A 27,104-nucleotide genomic window follows, 5' to 3' on the forward strand; every position below is an offset into this window, starting at 1 on the left:
GTTTTTCTAAATTGTATCTGGGAAGATGTAATTCTTTAGCATATCACTCAAAGGAAATGCTGATAATAATAACCCTATTATTAATTTCAATAGGTGACCACTAGATTGCCCCCATACCTGCAAATATACCATCTATTCCCCAAGACCCGAGAGCTGTGTTAAAATCCAACTTTTCTAACTCTTCATTATGTTTATAATGAACATGAATGAGCTTTCCTGTGTATTAAGCTAGAGTTTCACGCTTGAGTTTTCTGAATCTTCTGTCATACAAACAGAAGTGGATACAAATCTTGTCCATATTTACTGGTGCAGAGGCTAGAATGCATTTTATCCTATGTGTCAAACTTAAAGCCTGAAACAGCTTGCTGTCAGCTTCAGAAACCATTTTTACAAGCATGGCATACCGCCTCAAGCCAACCAAATCCTAAAGCATGTTGGGCTGCCCACACTTCAAATCATTTGGAATGTTCTCATGTTTTGTGGTTGCAAAAGTACCAATTTTGTGGATCATCTAGTTCAAATTGAGGGCACATCTAACCTTAAACAGAAAATTCCCCGGAAATTGAAACTATAACTGACCAGGATCACATCAGCTCTTAAGATCTATGATCTCAGGCTGGTAGTCAAACATCTCAAATGTTGTGTTTTGAAAGTTGAAGAAATGCAACATAAACTCTGTGAAACTCATTCATGTGTCTTCAAGGAAACACTAAGAACTCATCCTAAATATACATATGTCATAGTTGCAAAAAAAAAAAGGAAAAAGTGCCACCTGCAACAAAGTAAAGGTGATTTGCAGCAAATATAAACACATTTCTGGTAAACAGCTAGCAAATTAAAGAAAAAAAAACCGCCTAACAGATTACTTCATTTCATTTCTAATTTTCATACATAAGCTGAAATATAGCAGCTTCAGCTGTGAAATGTGGTAACAAACATAACAAAGGTGAATGAAATAGTTTTGCTTGTAGTAACTGGAGCACTGTATTTATACATATTGTTTTTCCAAGCATTAATGGGTCCCTCTCTCAAATCAAGTGCTTAAGACATCATTTCACAAATTGGAGTACCAGAACTTCCCCAAGGTTTGCCTCTCATGCCTTTGAGGTCTACTCTCTAAATCCCAGATCTATGAAGAATGTCCTAAAGGTTATTTTTGAAGTATTAAAAGAAGAAAACACTATATTGACAAACTAAATTTTACCTAGAATTTGCCTATTGAAGCTTAAGAAATGCCTGGTTCAATTATCCATTGGCAGGGTAATTCAATCCATTTGAATAGATAAATGTGGTTAGGATATGGTTCCCTGATCCAAGCCTTGTTAAGAGTTCGAGAACATACTGAAAACCAGTGCTTTTTAACTTAACTGATATTGACTAAAATGCTGAAAAGATGACAAGCCCTAGCAATAACTATTTTTAGCTGATATTTTAGACCTACTGTTCCTGGTGCACATGTATTATTAGGTCCCTAAATGGTTTTCATGTTTTTTATATACTCAATAGCATATACAGATATGGTATATATAGTTATACTATATATAGTATGGATACATAAATATAGATATATGTGTGATATGGATATATACATATACAAATCCACCTCTGTGTGTATCATTTCCAAAATACTCATTCACAAAACAATCAACCCAAATTAAATAAACCATAAACAAAATCTCAAGGTGCTCAAGTAACTCTAGGAACTAAGTCACATCCACTTAGGAACACTAAATTCTTACTTTCTTGCTTGCAGTCCAGCAAACTTAAGGTAAAACAGTAACTACATAGGGGTTTTAGTTATGTTTATTTTTCCTAAGCAAATTTTTCTCCAAGAATGTTCAGCTTGCTGAAATTTTCAGAAAATGCTTGAGATGGTGGGTTCTTTTTTTGAGTTTCGGTACTGGTATACTTTACAGCAAAGTGACAAAACTGTACTTAGAGATAAAAATCTATATCCCAAACAAAATTTTACAGTATTACTGGTTATTCTGGGATGATTTTCTTCGAAAACTTCCCATTACAAACAATATGTTTCCTACACTATCCCGTCTGCCTTGGTAGTATACTTTTCACACACAAAATTGTACGTAACGCATATACCAGAAATACGTCAAGGCACTCTTTTATTTAAATAAGCTCCCACATTCTGTTTTTATTGTTCAAAATGATCTGAATGCTCATAATTGATGTAATCAATTATGTCACTAAAATTTTGGCTATGCAACATTTTACAAAATATAGGGACTTTTCATCAGCACCTTAGATTTGTAGTTGGCAATGTGAGTGAATAAGGCAAACAGGAATAGAGGTGTGGCAGAGACCTAGGGGTGTGAGAAAATGGGGCTTCCTTTACCCACGGGACACGTGGGAAAAAAAACTTATCCACGTCTGCAATAAATGTACTTTTATGTTAGGTTTCATTAAATGAAACACGTATTACATACCTCGTCAATGGATTAGAATGTCTGAAGCAGTATCAGCTTATGCAAGAAACATGAGGTTTTTATCCATGATTCTTAGAAACACTACTCCTAGAACTGGTTGAAGGCTTCTTAATCTAAGACATAATGAAAAACAAGCTCACCCAATAAACAAAGAGAAATCCTATTTTAAAAACATATGGTTTAAACTTCATCCTACCTCACTAAAAACCTGCATGCTACTATAGGGATGCCTGTATTCCCTAAGTGTCGAGACTCAGTCTCATCCAAGACTAAACGATCTCTTTGAAAATTTGGGCAAGCCCTGGGGGAAATTTTCATAAAGATATGTTGTTGGATTTTTTTTTTAAGCACTCTGAGCCTCCACAACATATTTTATTATTAAAAAGAAGAATGTTTCCGAAAAGGGGCAGAGGAGAAAAGACTGAAATCAGGGCGACGTTGAAAACCGGCCAAGGATGCAACACACAGCGCCGCAAGCTGAACCACATGGAAGAGGGAACCTCTCTTAACTGTTGGAGCGCGAAAGGACCTTTCGCTCTCGCAAACAAGGTAAATTTCAGCCCTCAAGCAGCGAGACCACCGTGTAAAAGTTCAAGTGGAGCTCATCTCCTTCCTCTCACTCCCAGCACTGAATTCTCAACCAGAACAGCCCAGCAGGAAAGGAGCCGGCATGGGGTGCCCCTCTGCAGCCGACCGTTTTCCTAGAAGGCCTAACCGCTCAGACGGGCAGGGGAGGGGGGCGGGCGGCCCGGGAGAAACCGAGTCCCCGCCGGGTCCCCACCGTGTGGCGCCGACCGAAATAACTCCAGTCCAGCTGCAAAAACCCTCCCGAAAACCCAAGCTTCTCCGGCACAACTTCGGTCTCTCCAGCCTCATTCCTCCCCGCACTCCGCCAAACTGCTCGCCCTGCCCAGCGCAGCGGATGCAAGCGCTCCCCGCCCCGAGCGGCTACCTGTCCCGCGGGCCGGGGATCGCGGGCCGGGGATCCCGAGCCTCACCTCACCTCAAGCGAAGGGCAGCGCGCGGGCGCCCGCGGAAGAGCCCAGGGAGCATGGCTCCATGTAGTCCCTCCCGGAACTTTCCTGACATAGCACTTCTCTCCTCCGCTGCAGAGAACAACGCTGCCAGGCGGAGGAGGAAGGAGGACAACGAAGAGGAGGTGGTGGCGGCGGCGGCGATACAGGCGGCGGTGGCGGGAGCTGGAGCTGAAAGTGAGGAGCATCGCGGACGAGCGCCGCCGCCTCGCGAGCCGCCGAGGGGTTCCCGCCCCCAGGGTAACCAACGCTCCCTCTTAAAGGCGCCGGCCCCGGTTTTAGACCGGGAGGTGAGTGAGAGAAGAGAAAGAGGGAGGAGGCAAGTAAAAAGGGAGGGGGCAAGTAAAGAGGGAGGAGGCAAGTAAAGAGGGAGGAGGCAAGTAGAGACGGAGAGATCCCTGGAGGCCACGCCCGAGCTGCCCCAGGGCGGATCGCCGGCCCCTTTCGACCGCTCCCTGCCCTGAACCCCTCTATGCTCAGGTCGCATCGTTCCTCCGCCTGGGCAAAGGCATCGAGGGTACCGCAAGTGCGCCCACCCGGCACTGGGGCAACCCTCGTCGTTGGCCTGCGCCCTGCACCCCGCGCCTCGCTCCCAGACGGTCGCCCCGCCCCTAATCCCTGGCAGTCCTTTTAGGGTCCTGGTTTCCCGCTCCCACGGGCCCCCAGAGTGCACCTCCAGTGGCTACTGCCCAGTGGATTTGCGTTCCCCGAGGCTACTCGCGTTTCTTCTTTGGTTATTCTTCCTCATTTCCAACACAATGATGAGGGTCTCACGCAGGCGTCCAGAAGACTGAAATAACTAAAAGCCAGCTGGGGCCCCTAGACCAATGCTTGAAGGTGTCCCTGATGTGTGGCATGGGAGAATTGCCAGGTATCCTCCTTTACCCGGTGCTCTGTTCTCTTCCAATGGCCAATCCCCAGCTGGCCTCCCACTGGATTTCTAAAACGATTCACTTTCATCAACACATGGGCTGTAAAGATGCCAAACAACTCAGGAAGACCCCCCAGAAAAAGTATCATCTTGAGACAGTGGAAAATGCTGCTTTCAGTGACAAGTGATATTTTCAGCTATTATCAACATATGTGATCATTACTGAGGCCACAGCCTCAGGTGGTGATGCCCAGGAGGCTCCCAGCATCAGCAGCTATCGTCACCCTAGGAAGAGACCACAGCAGCAGTGGGCATGAGCAGCAGAGGGTTGCTACTGTCCACGGACTTGTTTTTCTACCTCATAGTTCCAACCCTTGCTTCTTGGACCTATGGGACTTCAGTATAGTGTTGTGCAGTTTGTACTCTGCACTGTGTCCTCTGTCTGAGGAGGTGGGCAGGCAATTTGGAGTTAAGATCTAGCCTGGGTTCCAGAGCACCAGTCCTAGCACCAAGCTCGGAGAGAGTGGCATTTCCTCATTCACACAAAGGCACTTGCATATCACTACCCTGAGACTGAACCAGAACATCTCAGTTCTTTGCCTCCTGCCACCTACAGCTGTGAAAGAAGCACTTGTGTTGAACTTGTAGAAGAATAAGGCAAGAGGAGACTATACAAAAGGTTGAAGAAACTTCTGTAACCAGATGGAGACGAAATAAGCCCTGGGCTCAATAAAAGCAGGAGACATGGTCTTGCCTGGACCAAACTTTTAAGATGGGAAAGGAGATTATCAGCGAGCAAAAGTGAAGTCAGGATAGTTGGATGTGGCCAGCACACAACTCAAACTGAGTTAGCAAAACCTGCAGCAAAGGGCATTGGAATTTATTGGTTCATATGTTTATAAATCCCATAAGTAGAACTGGCGCGCGCACACACACACACACACACACACACACACACACGTTCTTAGAAATCCTTTTTACTCCAGATACTCAAAGAGCATCAGGACTCAATTTCTCTCCCTGTCTTCATTGTGCTTTCACTGCACTGGTTTTATTTCTCTAAACAGAGGGAAGACCTACATCTCCAGTCTTAACATCCAACCTCCTTAGCAATTAGTCGCATCAGAAAGAAAGCAAGCTGAAGAATGTCTCACCAGACCCACGTGGATCCTGCGTTCATCTCTGAACTAACCATTGTAACTATGGGATGGAATGCACACTGCCAGGCTGGGGTTATTTGCCTTTATCTACAAAAAGGTCAAGGGAAATAATTGTATGTACCCTTCATATATACCCAAACCACAGGGACCGAGTAGAAAGAAAGAGGTTTCCCAAAGGAAAATTAAAGTGTTGTTAATAAAGAAGGCAAAAGAATGTTGAGTAGATAAAGACTATAAATGCCCACTACAATCCCCATTCCCCAGTATACACACATCACCACCACTGTCACCAAGGGGACTGACCACCTCTCTGCTCCTTTACCAACAGTCTCAGGATCAGAAGAATGAGAATGCTGATGGGTCATGGAGGTGCTAGTAATTGAGCCAACCAGCCACATCCTTTGGCCTCAGAGCCACTGAGAAGATCCTGAGTGACATTTGTGACATTTCACAAACCACCTGCAAACAAACAATATATAAACCATGATTGTATTCAATTATTTTTCCCTAAATTATAAACCTGCCTCCATGTACCTCAAGCCCACATTCATTGTTAGGCCTTTTTAGTTATGCAATCAATTTAATTTGATAAGAGCTCATGGAAATTCCCTGATATATATATATATATTCAACTTGGGGGAAAAAAAAGTGGCCTACGAATAATCACATTTCAGTATCCAAGTGCCAAAGAGCCCAGCTTTGTTTTTAAACTTCAGTAACTTTATCTTTTCAGAGAGAAAGATGTTATCTTTCTCTCTGAAAAGGTGTTTATTTTGCCTACCAAAAAGTGACAAAAAATTTCAGGCTTTTTTTGTCTCACACAAGAACTTTTCTTTTACAGTAGTTGCTAAAAAAAAAAGTTTTGTATTTTTTTCTTCATTTGTGCATTTTATAGAAATCCTCATATATCATAGAAATTTAGACTAATAAACTGGAAGAGACTTTAGAATAACCTAAAACATCCCTTTCATTTCAGAGCTAAAGAAATGAAAGCTCAAAGGTTGACTTGTGTAGGGTACATAGCTGTTTTTTAGTATCTGTGATGTCCCTAACACACATGTGCTTTTGCTAGACATTTCGAAGGATATAGAAGCAAAAGCATAGAATGTAGTCACTGTCCTCAAAGAGACATAACTATCTAAGATATAAGACAATTACAGAACATCACAATATATCATATAATTTAGTGTAAAAAGTGTGGGATGATCTCCGTGTATTAAAAATAGGCATCAGAAAATGAGACACTATGGACTGGAATAGTCTTGGAAACACTTTCTAGCGAGGAAGCAATTAGATGGTCTTTTTTAAATGCAGAGGAAAAAGGAAAGATTTTCCAAGCAAGAAAGCAAACAAAATGAGAAGGCATTGATGGGAAAAAGATCTTGCCACTTGCAGGAACAGAAATGAAACCTGTACTGTCATGGTTTAGAAAAGTTTTTCAAACTCCAAGTCATGAAGTCATTTTACTAAGTTTTGACTAGTATTATTTTAATTAAAATATCAGCATGCATCATACTTAATAAGTATTATTTGTTAAACTTGTGTTTCATTATCATGCGTGTTCTGAGTTATGACATGAATTCAATGTCTTACTTTGGTTAATGTTCACAGTAAGCTCAAAAGCCTCTGGTTCTGAAGCTAAATAGACTAGGTGTGAAACTGTTTTGAGGCAAGACATTGAGCAAATAACATCTCTCCAAGCATCAATTTCTTTATGTGCAAGAGATTTTCTGCACAGTCCTGTGCACACAGTAAGACTTGTAAATGCCACCTCTTATTGACTAGATTGGATATTTTCAACCCTGACTGCACATTAGAATCACCTGAGAGGTTTTTTTTAAAATACCGTTGCCTGGGGCCCATCCTCAGAGACCCAGATTCAATTTCAGGGTTGACTCTGGACATCAGTGAGATTAAAAGCTGCCCAAGTGATTCCAATGTGCAATCATGGCTGAGAACCCTGAGTTGGAGCCATAGAACACATCTAGCACCTGAGGAGCCTGTCTCTTTCCTCAGTGAGTACATTGACTTTGATAAGTTACGTTTCTTCCCATAGATAGCATGCCAGGTAGTCAGCAGATTTCTAACTACTTTCTACTCTGCATTTGCCCCTGAAAAATCTTCAACTGTGGTGTAAACTGCTCATGGTTTACCTCAGTAACACAGCATGAATCCTGAGTCATAATATTTCATGTGTCTCTCCACATGTACATTTTATGGTCAGTTGTAAGCATAGAGTCGTTTCTGGAGGTGTTAAAAGGCAGTAAAAATACCACCAAAAACTCCCTAAGGAAAAGCAGAAAGGCTAGAAGTAAGTGGCATTAGAAATCCATAAGCTGAATAATTAGCAGATGACTCATTAAATTCCAGCTATTTTCATCCTAACTTTTAATAGTGTAGTTTCTAAACATAGTAATTAGTGATGTGCTTTTTGTAATTTTACATTCAGTAATCCCTCTTAAGTGTTCATAACTTACAAACTTTTTCCCCTATTTAATCAATCCCTTTGTGTATGAAAGAGTAAACATTTTCAAATACAACTTGTCCAAGAAATTCAGTATCTAGACCACTGTATTTTGACTGATTGTTTTGTCTATGTAAATCCAGACTTTTCTGAACTTTGGCTGGAGAAAGATAATAAAGGTAGCATAAATTTAAATTCCCCCAAAGAGACATAACAACGAAGATAAAGGGGGAAAAACACTATAAACTACAAGTCTGATAAGCAGATACCATGTACTTCATGATATGACAAAATCAGAAGTACCCAGAACCACTGAGAGGTTTTATGGCCTAAGCAACGGAATCTGAATCTAATCAAGCCTCTAGACCTAACAGGAAATACAGGGGACAGAGGATCAAGTTAGAAATCATCTGAAGAAAGCAATCAATCAAATCCAGAATGTCAAACATTCAATAAGCAAAGTGACCTGATTTCCATATGGAATCAATGACATGAAAAAACAGGGGTCAGACTACAAAAGAGTAAAAGAGATTTAAGGATCATAATTAACTGCAACGTGTGGACTGTATGTCCTGTTTGGTACAAACAACCTGTGAAGATAATCCTTGAAATAATCAGGAAAATCAGATTATGGATTAAGTAATTTGATACTATAGATGAATTATTGTTAATTTTGTTAGATGTGATAATGGCATGACAGTTATATATAAAACAAATATGTCATTGGGGTGCATATTGAAGAATTTCATAATCCTGCAAAAATAATGGAAGGAGGAATAGGTGAAAAAATGACTAATAATTTTTGAAGCTGGTGGATGGAGATTTATTACCTTGTACTAATTATTATTGAGTATATTTGGAAAACTCCCTAATGAAATTTTTAAAAATTTCTATTTGATGTTGAGCTAACCTTTTATTAAAATCTTTCTCTTGGTTTTGCTAATAGAACAGTGATAAACATATGTGGATCTAGGCCTGGTTGTATGTCAAGTATCCTGAGAAACAAGCTTTAAGTTTCAGAAATCTTTTATTATAATATTTTTGACCAATATTTACTGGTTACATTCAAGGCATCTTTCAACTCACTGTACACTGAGGACAAGGCTCTAATGCCAGTCTCTTTGCTAAGGGAACCCTCAGTGGCATAGGATTGGACCAAAAGAGTGACCAGTGAGGGATTCTGTAGGGAGAGCACACTCCGTCCTACACAGCGGCTTCTCTGCGCTGCAGTTGCTTACTCTCCAAGTATCTCTGGGCTTCCATCTTTCTAGGGTGGCTGGTGTCCAGTGACTAGCTCTGGCTGCCAGCTGCCTCTCTGCGCTGCAGTTGCTTACTCTCCAAGTATCTCTGGGCTCCCATCTTTCTCGGGTGGCTGGTGTCCAGTGACTAGCTCTGGCTGCCTCCATCTTGGGATGTCCATGGTGAAGTCTGTGGTTAAGTCCATAGGGACTAAATGGTTGATGCTTCTGTTCTTTTTGTAAGCCTTAGTAGAGACATGGTCTCTTGGCCAGAAACCTTTCCCTCATCCTACCACATCGCACTATTTTCTACCCCTCAAAGAAGACACACAAGTGTGTGCGTGCACACACACTCCAAGAAAACACTGCAGCGGTAAATAAGATTCAGTAGGCCAAGACCAATGAAGGAAGACGTAGAGCAGCCATTCAGCCTGCTTTTAGTCCATGCCTTAGCCTGTTGTTTTTCCAACACTGGTATCTGGACCATTATTGACACATGATTACTTTTAGGGTAGGGTAACTTTTTTTTTTTTTTTTTTTTTTGAGACGAAGTCTGGCTCTGTTGCCCAGGCTAGAGTGCAGTGGCGCTATCTCGGCTCACTGCAAGCTCCACCTCCCGGGTTCAACCACTCTCCTGCCTCAGCCTCCCGACTAGCTGGGACTACAGGCACCCCTGTATTCCCACGCCTGGCTAATTATTTGTATTTTTAGTAGAGACAGGGTTTCACCACGTTAGCCAGAATGGTCTCAATCTCCTGACCTTGTGATCCGCCCGCCTCGGCCTCCCAAAGTGCTGGGATTACAGGTGTGAGCCACTGCTGCCCGGCCAGGGTAGGGTAACTTTTAATATGTCTATTTAATGTATCAAGAATTAGAAAAATAACATATCAATCTCATTTCACGGATATTACTTCTTAGGATGACGCTAGATTTTTTTTTTAATGAGTTCGTTTTTGGCTGGGAGCATTGGCTCATGCCTATAATCCCAACATTTTAGGAGGCCAAGGCAGGAGATCACTTGAGACCAGGAGTTTGAGACCAGGCTGGGCAACATAGTGAGACCCTGTCTCTACTAAAAAGCAATTAATTCAAATAAGTCAATTTAATAAAAATGTTAAGTGAATAAAAGTGCAGATATTTTGAGGATATGCAAAATTCAAGAAAGTTTTTATATATGACTAAGGGTTTTGAAACTCTGCTTTTATCTACAGAAGCAAAAGGAGTCTTCATGGCTCACACACTGCCAGCCCAGTTCTGCAGGGGCTTAACTAGAAAGACAAGGTAGTTAAGTAAACGCTTCGGCATTTGGAAATCACGAATTATACTTCTAATTCCACCATGACATAGGGAACTTCCATTCCTTCTTGGGAAAAATTCTGGTAGTGGTTGTTCAGCTAATCATCCCTTCTCTCTCCCTCAACCCTTTCTCATATAAGTTAGAAATAGTTCTTTATTTTTCTCTTCCTCTAGTGGACATTGTTATTATCTCTGACTTACCAAAACAGGGATTCCCAAATTAATTTTTTATGTTTCATAATTTTATTCTCTTTTCTTTCTCTCTCCATGTGGCTAATACCTTTAGTCCTCTCTTATAGGCAGTCCTTTCTGCTGGTCTCTGCCTTGCTGTAACCATGCATGCCTTTCTTAAAGTTTCAGATGACTTCTCACTGTTCTGCAGGTACTATACAGATCCTGTAAAGAAGCCTTCCTGATTTGAGAAAAAGAATTACACATTAACTCCTTGTGGCTTCCCTTGGCTGGCTATGCTATAGTCTCAGAGCTTGAAGATCAGTTCTTTGAATCAACTCAGTCAGACAAAAATAAAGAAGAAGAAAGAATAATGATCAAAACCTCCAAAAAATATGGTGTTATATAAAAAGACTGAATTTTTGACTCATTGTTATTCCTGAAAGAGAGGGAGAATAAGCAAGCAACTTGGAAATACATACTAGAGGATATTGTCCACAAAAATTTATCCAACCTTGCTAGAGAGCCCAACATTCAAAATCACAAAATGCAGAGAAACCCTGAGAGTTACTATATAAGATGACCATCCCTAAGACATATAATCATCAGATTTCCCAAGGTCGTCATGAAAGAAAAAATATTATAGGCAGCAAAGAAGAGGCTGATCACCTACAAAGAGAACCCCAATAGGCTAACAGCAGATCTTTCAGCAGAGGAGGCCTATATTCAGCATTCTTAAAAAAAAAAAAAAAAAAAAAAGGAAATTCCAACCAAGAATTTTATGTCCAGCCAAACTAAGTTTCATAAGCAAATGAAAAATAAGATCCTCTTCAGACAAGCAAATGCTACAGGAATTTGTTACCACCAGACCTGCCCTGCAAGAGGTCCTTAAGGGAGTGCTAAATATGGAAATAAAAGACCATTACCAGCCACCACAAAAACATACTTAAGTACATAGACCACTGACACTATAAAGCAACTACACAGTGAAGTCTGCATAATAACCAGCTAACATCATGATGACAGGATCAAATCTATACATATCAGTATCAACCTTGGATGTAAAGGGGCTAAAGGCCCAAATAAAAAGTCACAGAGTGGCAAGTTAGATAAAGAAGCAAGACCTAACTACATGTGGTCTTCAAGAGACCTATCTCACATGCAGTGACACCCATAGACTCAAAGTAAAGGGTTGGAGAAAAATCTACCAAGCAAACAGAAAACAATAAAAGCAGGGTTTGCTATTCTAATTTTGGAAAAAACAGGCTTTAAATCAACACCAATCACAAAAGACCAAGAAGGGCATTACATAATGCTACAGTGTTCAATTCAACAAGAAAATGTGACTATCTGGTTGTTATAAATATATATGCACCCAACATAGGAGCATTCAGATGTATAAATCATGTTCTTAGAGATCTATGAAAAAACTTAGATAACTACACAATAATAGTGGGAGACTTCAACACCCCACTGACAGCATTAGATCATCAAGGTAGAAAATTAACAAAGATATTTAGGACTTGAACTTGACACTGGACCAAATAAACCTAACAGACATCTACAGAACTATCCACCCAAAAAACAACAGACTATATCTTCTACTCATGTGCACATGGCACATACTCAAATCAACCACACAATTAGCCCATAAAACAAGTCTTGACAATTTCAAAAAAACCAAAATCATACCAACCACTCTCTTGGACCACAGCACTATAAAAACAGAATCAATACTAAGAAAATAACTCAAAACCATACAATTGCATTGAAATTAAACAACTTGCTCCTGAATTACTTTTGGGTAAACAAGAAAATTAAAGCAGAAATCAATAAGTTCTTTGAAACTAATAAAAACAAATACCAGAATCTCAGGGACACGACTAAAGCAGTGTTAACAGAAAAGTCTGTAGTACTAAAGGCCCACATTAAAAACATGGAAAAATCTCAAATTAACAATCTAACATCCCACCTAAAGGAACTAGAAAAACAAGAGCAAACCAACCCCAAAGCTAGCAGAAGACAAGACATAACCAAAAACAGAGCTACACTGAATGAAATATAGAGATGTGAAAAACATTCAAAAGATCAATGAAAGTAGAAATTTGTTCTTGGAAAGAATACATAAGATTGATAGACTGCTAGCTAGACCAGTAAAGAAAAAAGAAGATCCAAACAAACATAATGAGAAATGACAAGGGGGACATTACCACTGACCCCACAGAAATACAGAAAGTTCTCAAAGGCTGTTACAAACACTTCTATGTGAAAAAAAAAAAAAGAAACTTAAAAAACCTACAAGAAATCGATAAATTTCTGGAAAGATATACCGCCCAAGATTTTACCAGGAAGAAACTGAAACCCTGAACAGACCAATAACAAGATCTGACAAGAACTTGTATTTCTGGTTGGTAGTAATAAAAAGCCTACCCTACCAACCAGAAAAAGCCCAGGACCAGGGAGATTCACAGCCAAATTCTACCAGCTATATGAAGAAGAGCTGGTACAATTCCTACTGAAACTATTCCAAAACATTGAGGAAGAGGGACTCCTCTCTTATGCATTCTATGAAGCCAACATCATCCCAATACCAAAACCTGGTAGAAACACACACACAAAGAAGAAAATTTCGGGTCAATGTTCTTGATGAACATAGATGCAAAAATCCTCAACAAAATACTAGCAAACCAAATCTAACACCACAACAAAAAGTTAATCCACCACAATCCAGTAGGTTTTATCCCTGGTATGCAAGGTTGGTTCAACATATGCAAATCAATAAATGTGATTTATCACGTAAAGAAAACTAAAAACAAAAACTACATGATCATCTCAACAGATGCAGAAAAATGTTTCCATAAAATTCAACATTCCTTCACGTTAAAAACCCTCAACAAGCTAGGCATTGAAGGAACATACCTCAAAACAATAATAACTGTCTATGACAAACCCACACCCAGCATCATACTGAATGGGCAAAAGCTGGAAGCATTCCCCTTGAGAACTGGAACAAGACAAGGATGCCCACTCTCACCATTCCTATTCAACAGAGTACTTGAAGTCCTAGCCAGAGCAGTCAGGCAACAGAAAGAAGTAAAAGGTATCTAAATAGGAAGAAAAGAAGTCTCCATTTGCAAATGGATATGACTGTATATCTAGAAAACCTCACATGGTCTCTGCCCAAAATCTGCTAGATCTCATAAACAACTTCAGCAGTTTCAGGATGCAAAATCAATATACAAAAATCAGTAGCATTTCTATACACCAACAATGCCCAAGCTGATAGCCAAATCAAGAATGCAATCCCATTCACACGAGCCACAAAAAGAATAAAACACCTAGGAATACAGCTAACCAGGGAAGTGAAAGATATCTACAATGAGAATTACAAACCACTGCTGAAAGAAATCAAATGGAAAAACATACCATGCTCATGGATAGGAAAAGTCAATATTGTAAAAATGGCCATACTTCTCAAAGCAATTTATGCTATTTCTATCAAACTACCAATAACATTTTGCACAGAATTAGAAAAAAATTATTCTAAAATTCATATGGAACCAAAAAAGGGCCTGAATAGCCAAAGCAATCCTCAGCAAAAGGAACAAAGCTGGAGGCATCACATTACATGACTTTATACTACAAGGCTACAGTAACCAAAACAGCATGGTACTGGTAGAAAAATAGATACATAGACCAATAAAACAGAATAGAGAGGCCAGAAATAATGCCACACACCTAAGACATCTAATCTTTGACAAAGCTGACAAAAACAAACAATTAGCAAAAAAAAGGAAAGCCCTCATTCAGTAAATGGTGCTGGGATAACTAGCTAACCACATGCAAAAGATTGACACTGGACCCCTTCCTTACACTATATACAAACACCAACTCAAGATGGCTTAAAGATTTACATGTAAAACCTAAAACTACAAAAACCCTAGAAGATAGCCTAGGAAATACCATTCTTGACATAGGTCTTGGCAAACATTTCATGTCAAAGACGCCAAATGCAATTGCAACAAAAGTGAAAACTGACAAATGGGACCTAATTAAAGTGCTTCTGCACAGCAAAAGAAACTATCAACATAGTAAATAGACAACCTATAGAATGGGAGAAAATATTTTCAAACTATGCATCCCACAAAGGTCTAATATCCAGAATCTATAAGAAACTTAAAGTAACAAGCAAAAAAACAAACAACCCCATTAAAATGTGGGCAAAGGACATGAACAGATATGAACACCTTTCAAAAGAAGACATGCATGACGCCAAGAAGCATATGAAAAAAGGTGGCTGGGCGTGGTGGCTCATGCCTATAATGCTAGCACTTTGGTAGGCTGAGGCGGATGGATCGCTTGAGCTCAGAAGTTTATGACCAGCCTGAGCAACATGATGAAACTCCATCTCTACAAAAAAATACAAAAATTAGCTGGGGGCCGGGCGCAGTGACTCACGCCTGTAATTCTAACACTTTGGGAGGCCGAGGCGGGTATATTGCCTGAACTCAGGGATTCGAGACCAGCCTGGGTAACACGGTGAAACCCCGTCTCTACTAAAAATACAAAAAATTAGCCGGGCGTGGCGGCATGCGCCTGTAATCCCAGCTACACGGGAGGCTGACGCAGGAGAATTGCTAGAACCCAGGAGGCGGAAGTTGCAGTGAGCCGAGATCATGCCACTGCACTCCAGCCTGGAGTGAGATTCGGTGTCAAAAAAAAAAAAAAAAAAAAAAAAGTGAGCTGGGCATGGTGGTGAGTGCCTGTAAGTCCTAGCTACTCTGGAGGCTGAAGTGGAATGATCAGCTGAGCCCAGGAAGCAGAGGTTGCAGTGAGCCAAAATCATGCCACTGCACTGTAGCCTGTGTGGCAGAGCTAGTTCCTGTATCAAAAATATATAAATAAATAGAAGAAAAAGAAAACATGCTCGACATCACTAATTATTAGAGAAATACAAATCAAACTACAATGAGGTACCATCTTATACCAGTCAGAATGGCTATTATTAAAAAGCCAGAAAATAACAGATCCTAGTGAGGCTGCAGGGAAGAGGGAATGCTTATACACTGCTGGTGGGAATGTAAATTAGTTCAGCCACTGTGGAAAGCAGTTTGGTTATTCCTCAAAGAACTTAAAACAGAGAAATCTCATTATTGAATATATACCCAAAGAAATAAAATCATTCTACCATAAAGACACATGCACGTGTATGTTCATCACAGCACTATTCATCATAGCAAAGACATGGAATCAATCTAAATGCCCATCAACAATAGACTGAATATAGAAAAGGTGGTGTATATAAACCATGGAATACTACTCAGCCATGAAAAAGAATGAGATCATGTTCTTTGCAGCAACCATGGATGAAGCTGGAGGCCATTATCCTAAGCAAACGAACATGGGAACAGAAAATCAAATACCACATTGTTTTCACTTTTAAGTGGGAGCTAAACATTGAGTATACATGGGCACAAAGTAGGGAACAATAGCCACTGGGGCCTACTTCAGGGTGGAGGTTGAGAGGAGGGTGAGGATCAGAAAACTACCTGTCAGGAATCATGCTTATCACCTGCATGATGAAATAATCTGCACACCAAACCCCTGTGACATGCAATTAACATATGTAACAAACCTGCATGTGTACCCCTGAATCTAAAATAAAAGGTTTTTTTTTTTTTTCCACAGATCAAAACTAAAAGCTCTTCTTAGGTTTTTCTCTGGATACATTATACGTATCTTTTCTTTTTGAACTAGAGCCTTATAGCTTTGCAAAGTAACTTTAAAGCCAGATCTACTCCCTTTCATCTACACCAACCTCTCTATTATCAACAAGCAGAATCTTGGTGAGGTAAGTTTTAGAATTAAACAGTAATTTTTCTTTTTAAAATTAAGTCATAAATTATTAACATTAAAGGAGTAGATCTCCAAACACAGAGAGGAAGGACAATGTGAAATACTCATAGATGAGAACAATATTATCATTGTTTAGAATTTCAAAGTTATTGCACATCTGTCTTAGTCACTAAAGACACTTCTGCACCAATCCTTCAGTCATATATTCAGGGCTAAGCACCACTGGAATTCAGCAGTCAAAACTCCTGCCTTCAGGAGCTTACTTTCAGATGAGACACAAAATAAATAAGTAAAATATATGGCACATTGGGGGATGAAAATTACTATGAAGAAAAAGAAAGTAGGGAAAAGACAGCAAGAATTTTGGAGGAGAATTTAACAATAAAATCACCAGAGTGGGCCGGGTGCGGTGGCTTACGCCTCTAAATCCCAGCACTTTGGGAGGCCGAGACGGGTGGATCACGAGGTTACGAGATCGAGACCATCCTGGCTAACACGGTGAAACCCCATCTCTACTAAAAAAAAAATACAAAAAATTAGCCGGGCGTGGTGGCGGGCGCCTGTAGTCCCAGCTACTGGGAAGGCTGAGGCAGGAGAATGGCGTGAACCCGGGAGGCGGAGCTTGCAGTGAGCCGAGATGACGCCACGGCACTCCAGCCTGGGCGACAGAGCGAAACTCCGTATCAAAAAAAAAAAAAAAAAAAAAAATCACTAGAGTGCTCAGGGAAATGCATTTCTGGGGAAAAGTGTTCCAAGCAGGAGGAACAGCAAAGACAAAGCCTCTGGGCTGCTAGCCTGGAATAAAGAACAGCAGAGGCCGGGTGGCTCACGCCTGTAATCCCAGCACTTTGGGAGGCCGAGGCGGGCGGATCACGAGGTCAGGAGATCGAGACCATCCCGGCTAAAAACGGTGAAACCCCGTCTCTACTAAAAATACAAAAAATTAGCCGGGCATCGTGGCGGGCGCCTGTAGTCCCAGCTACTTGGGAGGCTGAGGCAGGAGAATGGCGTGAACCCGGGAGGCGGAGCTTGCAGTGAGCCGAGATCCCGCCACTGCACTCCAGCCTGGGCGACAGAGTGAGACTCCGTCTCAAAAAAAAAAAAAAAGAACAGCAGAGAGACCTGTGTGGCTGGAGAAAGGGGAAGAGGAGTAGATGAGGGCAATGTTTCTTAAAGTGAGTTCCAATGGAACCTTATTCCTGTTCTCACTTTGGGAAATGATGTACTCTGTTGCCCTTGGAGAATTACAATATCATTCACACATTAAATGCTCTAAAAAATCCTGCCGAAGGCAACCCATTTCATGTTGATATCCCAACATTTCTCAGTTTTTCTGGACCACAAATCTCTTATGCAGAGATCACCTGTTTTTTGGAATACACAGTTTGAGAAAGATGCTTCTGGTTTATGAAATCTTAGAAAGGAGATCAAGTGTCTTACTCTTCTTTGTATCTGGTTAAAAATATTCTCAGTAAATATTTGTGGAATGGATCAACCTCATTAAGCCACATTTATCTAATGCACACTGTCCTTGTACCTTAAAGGAAGAAGTCAACCCGATTATTTCTAGTAGGTCGTGTTCCTGTGGGCAGTGGGTTCACTTTCAGCCTTCTGTGTAAACCTAGACATTCTCCTCTGCTCACGTCTCTGTCCTCTCCTGGGTAAGTTAGGAAGCCCGGCAGCCTAAATATACTGAGTTCAAGTACTTAGCAGATTCTTCTCTTGCTTAGCCAATTCTATTTTTACTGCAGTCTTGCCCTGAAGTACAATACTGCTCCCAGTTATTAATAAATGAATCTAGTCATCATTTCCTGATTGGTTTAGTCCCTGTATATACCGCTCTATGAGCAAGGGAACCCCAAAGGTGAAAGGGATAAGTAGCGGAACTTGGGGAAACTTCGCGCAAACAACAGTCATCCCTCATTCATTTAAAACATGCGTAACAGTTAACTTACTTACACAAGATATCTACATTTTAAATATTACTAATTTATAATAAAACAAACAGTGTTTTCAAATAGCCTATGGAGTATACATACTGTTTTTATTTCTAAAGATACTACCATAGCATTTGTTCCTGAATATTTAAGAAATTCATAAAATAACAGATAATAAGTCCTGAAGAATGATCTCTTGTTAAAATAGTGCTGTGGCTTGGATATCCTTTGTCCCCACCAAAACTCATGTTGAGGTTTGACCCCCCAGTGTAGGGAGGTGGGACCTAATGGGAGGTGCTTGAGTCATGGGGGCAGATCTTTTATAAATGGTTTGATGCCATTCTCTCTCTGGCAATACTGGATTAGTTCTCACAGCAATAAATGACTATGTTGAAAGCAGGTTGTTATAAAGCCAGGGCACACCTCAGGTTTTGCCTCTTCACATGTGTCTGCTTTCTTTTTAACTTTTGCTGTGTCATGATGCAGCACAGAAGCCCTCACCAGAGGCTTAGTAGATGCTGGCACCATGCGCCTTGAACTTGCCAGCCTGCGGAACTGTGAGCTAAATAAACCTCTTTTCTTTACAAACTACCTAGTGTCAGTATTCTGTTGTAGCGACAAAGAACTAAGACAGACAGCCATTAACTCCATGAACATTCTTAAAGCATCTAGGGCTAGACCATGGCTCCTTAACTAACAACTGGTTAATTATTTACTAAGACTATACTATTGTCAACTACCAAGGGAATCCATGTTCCCACAGGGAACTGCACTCTTCAGCTGGTGTCATATATACATAGCTTATAAGAAAAGCATCAATTAGTACAAACTTCAGTAGAAAATATCATAGATATTTCTGAGTGTACAGATATTTCCTGAGTGTACAGCATCCACCCCCTCCCCCCTTCTATGCAGTTTTGCTTTCTGCAGTTTCTGTTACCTGCGGTCAACTGTGGTTTGAAAATATTAAATGGAGAATTCTAGAAATAAACAATTTATGAGTCTTAAGTTGCAAGCTGTTCTAAGTAGTATGATGAAATCTTGCACCATCTGCTCCATCCCACCCAGGATGTGAATAATTTCTTTGTCCAGTGTATCCACACTGTCTATACTATCTGCCCACTAGTCACTTAGAAGCCATATTGGTTATTAGATCGACTGTGGTGGTATTGCAGTGCTTGTGTTCAAGTAATCCTTATTTTACTTAATAACAATTGTCCCAAATGGGCAAGAGGAGTGATGCTGGTATATTTTTGCAATTATTATTAGTTACTGTTGTTAACCTCTTACTGTGCCTAAATTAAACTTTATCACAGGTATGTATGTATAGGAAAAAACAGTATATATAGGGTTCAATACTATCTACAGTTTCAGGCATCCACTGGTGGTCTTGGAACATACCTCCTACAGATAAAGGGAATTACCATACCTGTTCTCACTACACTTAATACGATTGGAAAAATAAACACAGAAGGGATCCACAGTCCTCCTGTACACTTTTGAAATGAGATGCACTTGACCCAAGATTTTATCTACCATCTTGTCTTCATAAATACCTCCTCTTATTGGTGGGGCACTCTGGCATTTGGAGTCTCCAGGAATTAAGAACCACGATTCAATAACCCCCAGCAGGTCTGAATATTTACTTCCTCATTGTACAGTCACACCTTTAAATGGACAAGTTCCTGTAGGGAAAGCTTTGAGGAAGCTTCACAGTACCAACATATACCTGAGGCCATAGTGCAGAGCCTTTAGAACCTGGCTTTTCCCTCTTCAAAAGTGAAAGGTGTATGAACTATCTTAAACTTGGAAACTAGGAATGATCATGCATCTCTAACACAGTGACTGAAGTTGGGCCTCTGCCACCAAGCCTGAGATTTTTTTGCCTATATTTTTCAAGCAGTGTCTTAGAGGTTGTCCATTTATTTTATTTCTAGAAAATCCATGATCCATTAGTCATCACTGTAGAACTTTATAGATAAAAATACTGTAATCACTATTCTGTTCTTATAGCTTATTGTGGTATTTGTTTCCATCTTGTCCCTAAAGCTTAAATTCCACCACCCAGTTTCTACCCCTCTGGGATTCCATTTTTGTTACTGATATCAGGGGACCCAATTCCAGTACAGCATCTTCTACCATCATTTGTGTTTTACTAAGGACAACCACCAGGGAGCTTATGAAGGATGACAATACAACCTGATCCATGCATTTCTTAATGCCATGGTGACAAAAAAATCCTCCAGGCCCAGAAGTGGATGGCAGCAAGTGGAAATTTGGGACATACTCCTTTTGTTGGTGAGTTGTAATACTGAAGCGCATATTACAGGAAAAAGCTGAACATTCTCTTAGCCCAGAGCAACAAACACATGAAAGTCAGAAGTCTCATTAATATAACATTAATCTTTTTTTCCAGTGAGGTAAAATAAGGCATAAATGCACATAATTATTGCCAGCTGATCTAAAGTCAATAAAACATTCTGCTTAAGTGTTTTTCTTACAGAAAAAAATCCTTCAGGCCCCATGGAAGGATATGGTTAGGGGATAGCTGTGAATATTGCATGCACTAGAAGCATTTCAATAATTCCATCTTCCTTAGCCTTCAGAACCCTTTCCTCCATAGCTCTAGTTTTCAAAGTGTAGTTCTAGGACCAGCAATATTGGCATCACCTGGGCACTTGTTAGAAATTCAACTTCTTGGACCTCAGTTTGACCTACTAAATCAGAAACTTTAGGGTAGATTCCAGAAATCTGTATTTTAAGAAGCTTTCCCAAGATTCTGTTGCATACCGAAGTTTGAGAACCAGTACTGTACAGCATGACAGGGAAGATCTATCATTTATACTTCATTAATGGTAGGCTTTTATTGAATCCAGGCTTTCACTGGCCAGTATAGCAGGCTATCGATGCCATTAAAAGTACTTGTACCAGCACATTAAATTCAAAATTCCATGTGAGCACACCTATGGCAGTAAATTTAATTCAATCAAGCCTTATAGTTAATCCTCTTTGAATTAGACCATTAGAATTCTCTCCCATACATGCCCCTCGCACTTTTGACAATATTTGGTGCCGTCTTGTAACTCTTTTAAAGACTATGTCCTGACATATTTGAAATCTAGATCCTGTTAGGATATAAATCATAAATTAACCCAGAGGCAATAAAATATAGTGAGGAGATAGGTCCTGAGAAGAATCAGTGTCACCTTGTGAGATTGCTGCCCAAGATATACTTGTGGAAAGACTTCAATTCACAGGAAAGCTGACTTCCTGAAGGCAGGAGAGGGTTCCTTGGACAAGAGAGATTCTCATCATTTGGGATATCAGATTTCTCAGCTTCACACATGTCTGCCCAAATATCTTCATCCACTCCTTTCCAGTAGTGCCTTTAATTTACTATAAGAGATCTAGTAGAAATGAGCATTTCACTGATGTTCCAGTTCTGAAGAACTTCCAATCAGGCCCAAGGCTTGGGGCTCAGCCATATCTACCTTGCAACTTACAGGAGAGGAGGGACTCTTTCAAAGCTGCCATGGAGGCTCTTTTGATTCTCCATGTGTGTTCTCAACTAAACATTCATAGTTTTCATTTCTTCTTTCTCTTGTTGTAGATCATTTAAATCAGAAGCCAGCTGATGTCACTATATTATCATTCTTGTTTGTTTTTGTTTGTGTAAACATGGCTTTATTTCACTGTTACCCTTGAAGGATATTTTCCTCAAATATCCTTGATGGTATATAATTCTTTTTTAAAATTTTAATAGTTATTGGGGAACAGGTGGTTTTTGGTTACATGGATAAGTTATTTAGTGGTGATTTCTGAGATTTTCGTGCACCCATCACCCAGTGTACACTGTACCCAGTATGCAGTCTTTTATCCCTCAGCTCCCTCCCACCCTTCCCTCCCAAGTCCCCAAGTTCATTATATCATTCTTATTCCTTTGTGTCCCCATAGCTTAGCTCCCACTTACAAGTGAGAACGTACAATATTTGGTTTTTAATTCCGGAGTTACTTCATTTAGAATAATGGCCTCCAGCTCCATCCAAGTTGTTGCAAGGGCCATTATTTCATTCCATTTTTTGGCTGAGTAGTATTCCATAGCATATATATACACCACATTTCCTTTATCCACTCATTGGGTGATGGGCATTAGGTTGGTTAATATTTCTGCAATTGCAAATTGTGCTGCTATAAACATGCATGTACATGTATGTCTTTTTCATATACTGACTTCTTTTCCTTTGGATAGATACCCAGAAGCGGGATTCCTGGATCAAATGGTAGTTCTACTTTTAGTTCTTTAAGGAATCTCCATACTGTCTTCCATAGTGGTTTTACTAGTTTATATTCCAGCAGTGTGAAAGCATTCCCTTTTCACCACATCCATGGCAGCATCTAAAGTTTAAATTTTCTACTATTATTACAGTGTGGTAGTTAACTTTTGATTATAATTATTATTGACTCGTAGTGAGCACTCATTCAGGCCCATTATCCCTTTGCCACCATCTCTGTTAAACATCCATGCCTAGTGGCACTGGGACATCTGCTGGGAAAAAGTTCCCTTTACACTGAAATATCCCAAGAGTATTAAGGAAGGGCTCTCCTGTGTCCCCTACTCTATCCCCCATCAAACACTGTTTGCTTCTGAGAGGGAGGAAGAGGGCTGCAGAGACAGAATGCTGCACAGAACTCTACTTCTCTCCCATCTCTATGACTCAATATTAGAACTCTTTTATCTTGTTGGCAGAACAATTTATGTGCCTGTTCCAGACCTTCATGCCAAGACTGTACACTTCAAACTTCAAAGCTTAAAAAAAAATAGCACATCCTACATAAAGAATTTTCTTCGTTCTGGCTTCCAATTTCTGGAAGATCTGCTTACTCTGATTTCCCACACAAGAGCAGTGGTATCAGCCTCAGGGGGTATATTCTGACAGCCTAGATGAGTGAGCACATCCAGACACCAGGTGAAATCTCGTTGAGCCAAAAAAGCCTGGGCCACAAGTTATCCTGTTATTAACTGGCTCCTTAAACACCCTCATGCTCCACTTGTAACCCATCTTCAAGACCTACATTCACATGAATTTTCCTAAAAAACAGGACATCAACTCTTCTCAAAGAAAAATTGAGGGCTTGAGTTTTAAAATTGAACAGTCAAAGCCTTTTATATCTGTATTCCTGGTGAAGAGTCTGCTGTTAAACCATGTACTGTCCTGTTTATTGGTTATGTGTATCACTCTATTCAGTATCGTTACCCTTGGTACCAATAAAACAAAATTATTTCATTCAGAGTCACTCCTGGCAATTTTAACTTAGCATCCTTGGATATTTTGTTGTTTTGGCTGTTGTCTTCATATTTCTAATCCCATTAGAAGTTATGATTAAGTGTGCCTGTCTAGCTTCTATTTCTCTTTTTTTATAACCATGTCACTTAGAGTGGTTTTACTGATATATTTCTCCCAGTGAAATTTAATTATATGGGCTCAAGTTTACAGTTTAGAAAAAGCTCATCTGAGTAGCTAACTTCGGCCGAACTACTATGGGAGTCATAAATCCCTACAGCTTGGGCTAAAATCCTTAGATTAGGAGGCGGGAGAAAAATCATTGGTTCCATTTTTATTCATGCAGTTTGTACCTGATTGTGTCAAGTCTACAATACTTAAAATTGCAAGATAGTAGGGATCTATTGTGTTTGAAAGTTAAGCTGTAATGATTTTGACTTTGTTTCATTTAACACAACAAGCATTTATTTGACACTTGTACTCTAAGGGATATCAAAGTGAGTAAAACAGGATGGATGCTCTTCCAAGAGGGAAGTTTTCTTTTAAAGCAGATAGAAGCAAGTGCTATAGAGTAATAAAACCAAATATGGTGGTAGGGTGGAAGAGGAAAAGCTTCATTTCAACTCAGGGGTCTTAGAAGGCTTTTAGGAGGAAAGAAGATTTGACCTGGCCCTTAAAGAATTGACAAGCACTTCACAGGAAGATATGGACCTGGGACAAAAATATACTTCAACAAAGACAAAGAGTTAATAGTCTTCATATAGCAGCACATATATATTACCAGGCAATTCATAATATATGTCAAAAATAAAGTATCAGTGTCTTTAATATATAGTAAGGTTATATGATGTGTTTAAAAAACCCTAAAACCTCCAATATAAAAATGAATAAAAGACATATTTACAGAAGAAATGTATGTGACTACTAAACATGAAATATGTTCAAGCTCACAAGTCATCAAAGAAATACAAGTTCAAACAATTGCAATTTTTAAACCATATGAAATCTAGGAATCTGTTATGAGGAAATAATTGAAGTAGAGCCAAGGTTTATGTGCAATGGTTTCCAACATAAAATTATTCTTTAAAAAGCAGATTGGTTAAATAAGTTATGATATACATTTCTGATAGAATATGCAGTTGATGTAGTTTGGCTCTGTCCCCACCCAAATCTCATCTTGAATTCCCACGTGTTTTAGGAGGTACCTGGTGGGAGGTAATTGAATCATGAGGGCGGGTCTTTCCCATGCTGTTCTCATGATAGTGAATAAGTCTCATAAGATCTGATGGTTTTAAAAATGGGAGTTTCTGGCTGGGCGTGGTGGCTCACGTCTGTAATCCCAACATTGTCGGAGGCCGAGGGGGATGGATCAAGAGGTCAGGAGATCGAGACTATCCTGGCCAACATGGTGAAACCCCGTCTCTACCAAAAACACAAAAATTAGCTGGGCTTTGTGGCACGTGCCTGTAATCCCAGCTACTTGGGAGGCTGAGGCAGGAGAATCACTTGAACCAGAGAGTCAGAGGTCGCAGTGAGCAGAGATTGTGCCACTGCACTTCAGCCTGGTGACAGAGCAAGACTCCATCTCAAAAAAAAAAAAGGGAGTTTCCCTACACAAGCCCTCTTCTCTTGTCCGCCACCATGTGAGATGTGCCTTTCACCTTCCGCCATGATTGTGAAACCACCCCCAGACACGTGGAACTGTGAGTGCATTAAACCTCTTTCTTTTATAAGTTGCCCAGTATTGGTTTTGTCTTTATCAGCAGCATGAAAACAGACTAATACAGTAAATGGGTACCAGTGGAGTGGGGTGTTGCTGAAAACATACCAAAAATGTGGAAGCGACTTTGGAACTGGGTAACAGACAGAGGTTGGAAGAGTTCAGAGGGCTCAGAAGAAAACAGGAAAATGTGGGAAAGTTTGGACTTTCCTGGAGACCTTGTGAATGACTTTGACAAAAACGCTGATAGTCATATGAATAAGGTCTAGGCTGAGGTGGTCTCAGATGGAGATGAGGAACTTCTTGGGAGCTGGAGCAAAGGTGACTCTTGTTATGTTTTAGCAAAGAGACTGATGGCATTTTGCCCCTGCCCTAGAGATTTGTGGAACTTTGAACTTGAGAGAGATGATTTAGGGTATCTGGTGGAAGAAATTTCTAAGCAGCAAAGCATTCAAGAGGTGACTTGGGTGCTATTAAAGGCATTCAGTTTCAAAAGGGAAACAGATCATAAAAGTTTGGAAAATTTGCAGCCTGACAATGCAATAGAAAAGAAAATCCCATTTTCTGAGGAGAAATTCAAGCCAGCTGCAGAAATTTGCGTAAGTAAGGAGGAGCCGAATGTTAATCACCAAGACAATGAGGAAAATTTCTCCAGGGCATGTCAGAGATTTTGTGGCAGCCCCTTCCATCACAGGCCCAGAGGCCTAGGAGGAAAAAGAGGTTTCGTGGACTGAGCTCAGGGCCCCCATGCTGTGTGCAGCCGAGGGACTTGGTGCCCTGCATCCCAGCCAATCCAGCAGTGGCTGAAAGGGGCGAATGTAGAGCTTGGGCCATGGCTTCAGAGGGTGCAAGCTTCAAGCCATGGCAACTTTTCTACATGGTGTTGAGCCTGTGAGTGCACAGAAGTCAAGAATTGAGGTTTGGGAACTTCTGCCTAAATTTCAGATGATGTATGGAAATGCCTGGATGCCCTGGCAGAAATTTGCTGCAGGGGTGGTGCCCTCATGGAGAACCTCTGCTAGGTCAGTGAAGAAGGGAAATGTGGGGTTGGAGCCCCCACACAGAATCACTACTGGGGCACTGCCTAGTGGGGCTGTGAGAAGAGGGCCACTGTCCTCCATACCCCAGAGTGGTAGATCCACTGTCAGCTTTCACCATGTGCCTGGAAAATCTGCAGATACTCAATGCCAGTCCATGAAAGCAGCCAGAAGGGAGGCTGTACCCTGCAAAGCCACAGGGGTGGAGCTGCCCAAGACCATGGGAACCCACCTTTTGCCTCAGTGTGACCTGAATGTGAGACATGGAGTCAAAGGAGATCATTTTGGAGCTTTAGGGTTTCACTGCCCCACTGGATTTTGGATTTGCATGGGTCCTTTAGCCCCTTTGTTTTGGCCAATTTGTCCCATTTGGAATGGCTGTATTTACCCAATGCCTGTCCCCCAATCGTACTTAGGAAGTAACTAACTTGCTTTTGATTTTACAGGTGCATAGGTGGAAGGGACTTGCCTTGTCTCAGATGAGACGTTGGACTGTGGACTTTTGAGTTAATGCTGAAATAAGTTAAGACTTTGGGGGACTCTTGGGAAGGCACGATTGATTTTGAAATGTGAGGACATGAGGTTTTGGAGGGG

At 40.6% G+C, this 27,104-nt stretch overlaps 1 protein-coding gene across 8 annotated transcripts in view, besides 1 other annotated feature; it reads right to left on the reverse strand.

The window, feature by feature from the left end:
• GPR63 (G protein-coupled receptor 63) overlaps positions 1-3,657 on the reverse strand; it is a 43,353-nt gene extending 39,696 nt beyond the window's left edge. For 2 of the 8 annotated variants that reach the window (NM_030784.4, NM_001143957.3), the window contains exon 1: positions 3,448-3,657. The gene's annotated coding sequence lies outside the window, so the exon portion shown is untranslated. Of the gene's footprint in view, positions 1-2,444 lie in introns of all 8 variants that reach the window. The other 6 variants (XM_011536155.2, XM_011536154.3, XM_011536153.2 and 3 more) reach the window with 6 other exon arrangements.
• Positions 3,167-3,216: a silencer, noted in NCBI's record as "silent region_17408". NCBI's record gives its function as "represses an Ori minimal core promoter by ATAC-STARR-seq in GM12878 lymphoblastoid cells {active_cell/tissue: GM12878}" and the evidence as "EXISTENCE:reporter gene assay evidence [ECO:0000049][PMID:35858748]".
• Positions 3,658-27,104: the final 23,447 nt, after the last annotated feature.

This window comes from Homo sapiens, chromosome 6, assembly GCF_000001405.40.
Source record: "Homo sapiens chromosome 6, GRCh38.p14 Primary Assembly".
NCBI lineage: Eukaryota > Metazoa > Chordata > Mammalia > Primates > Hominidae > Homo > Homo sapiens.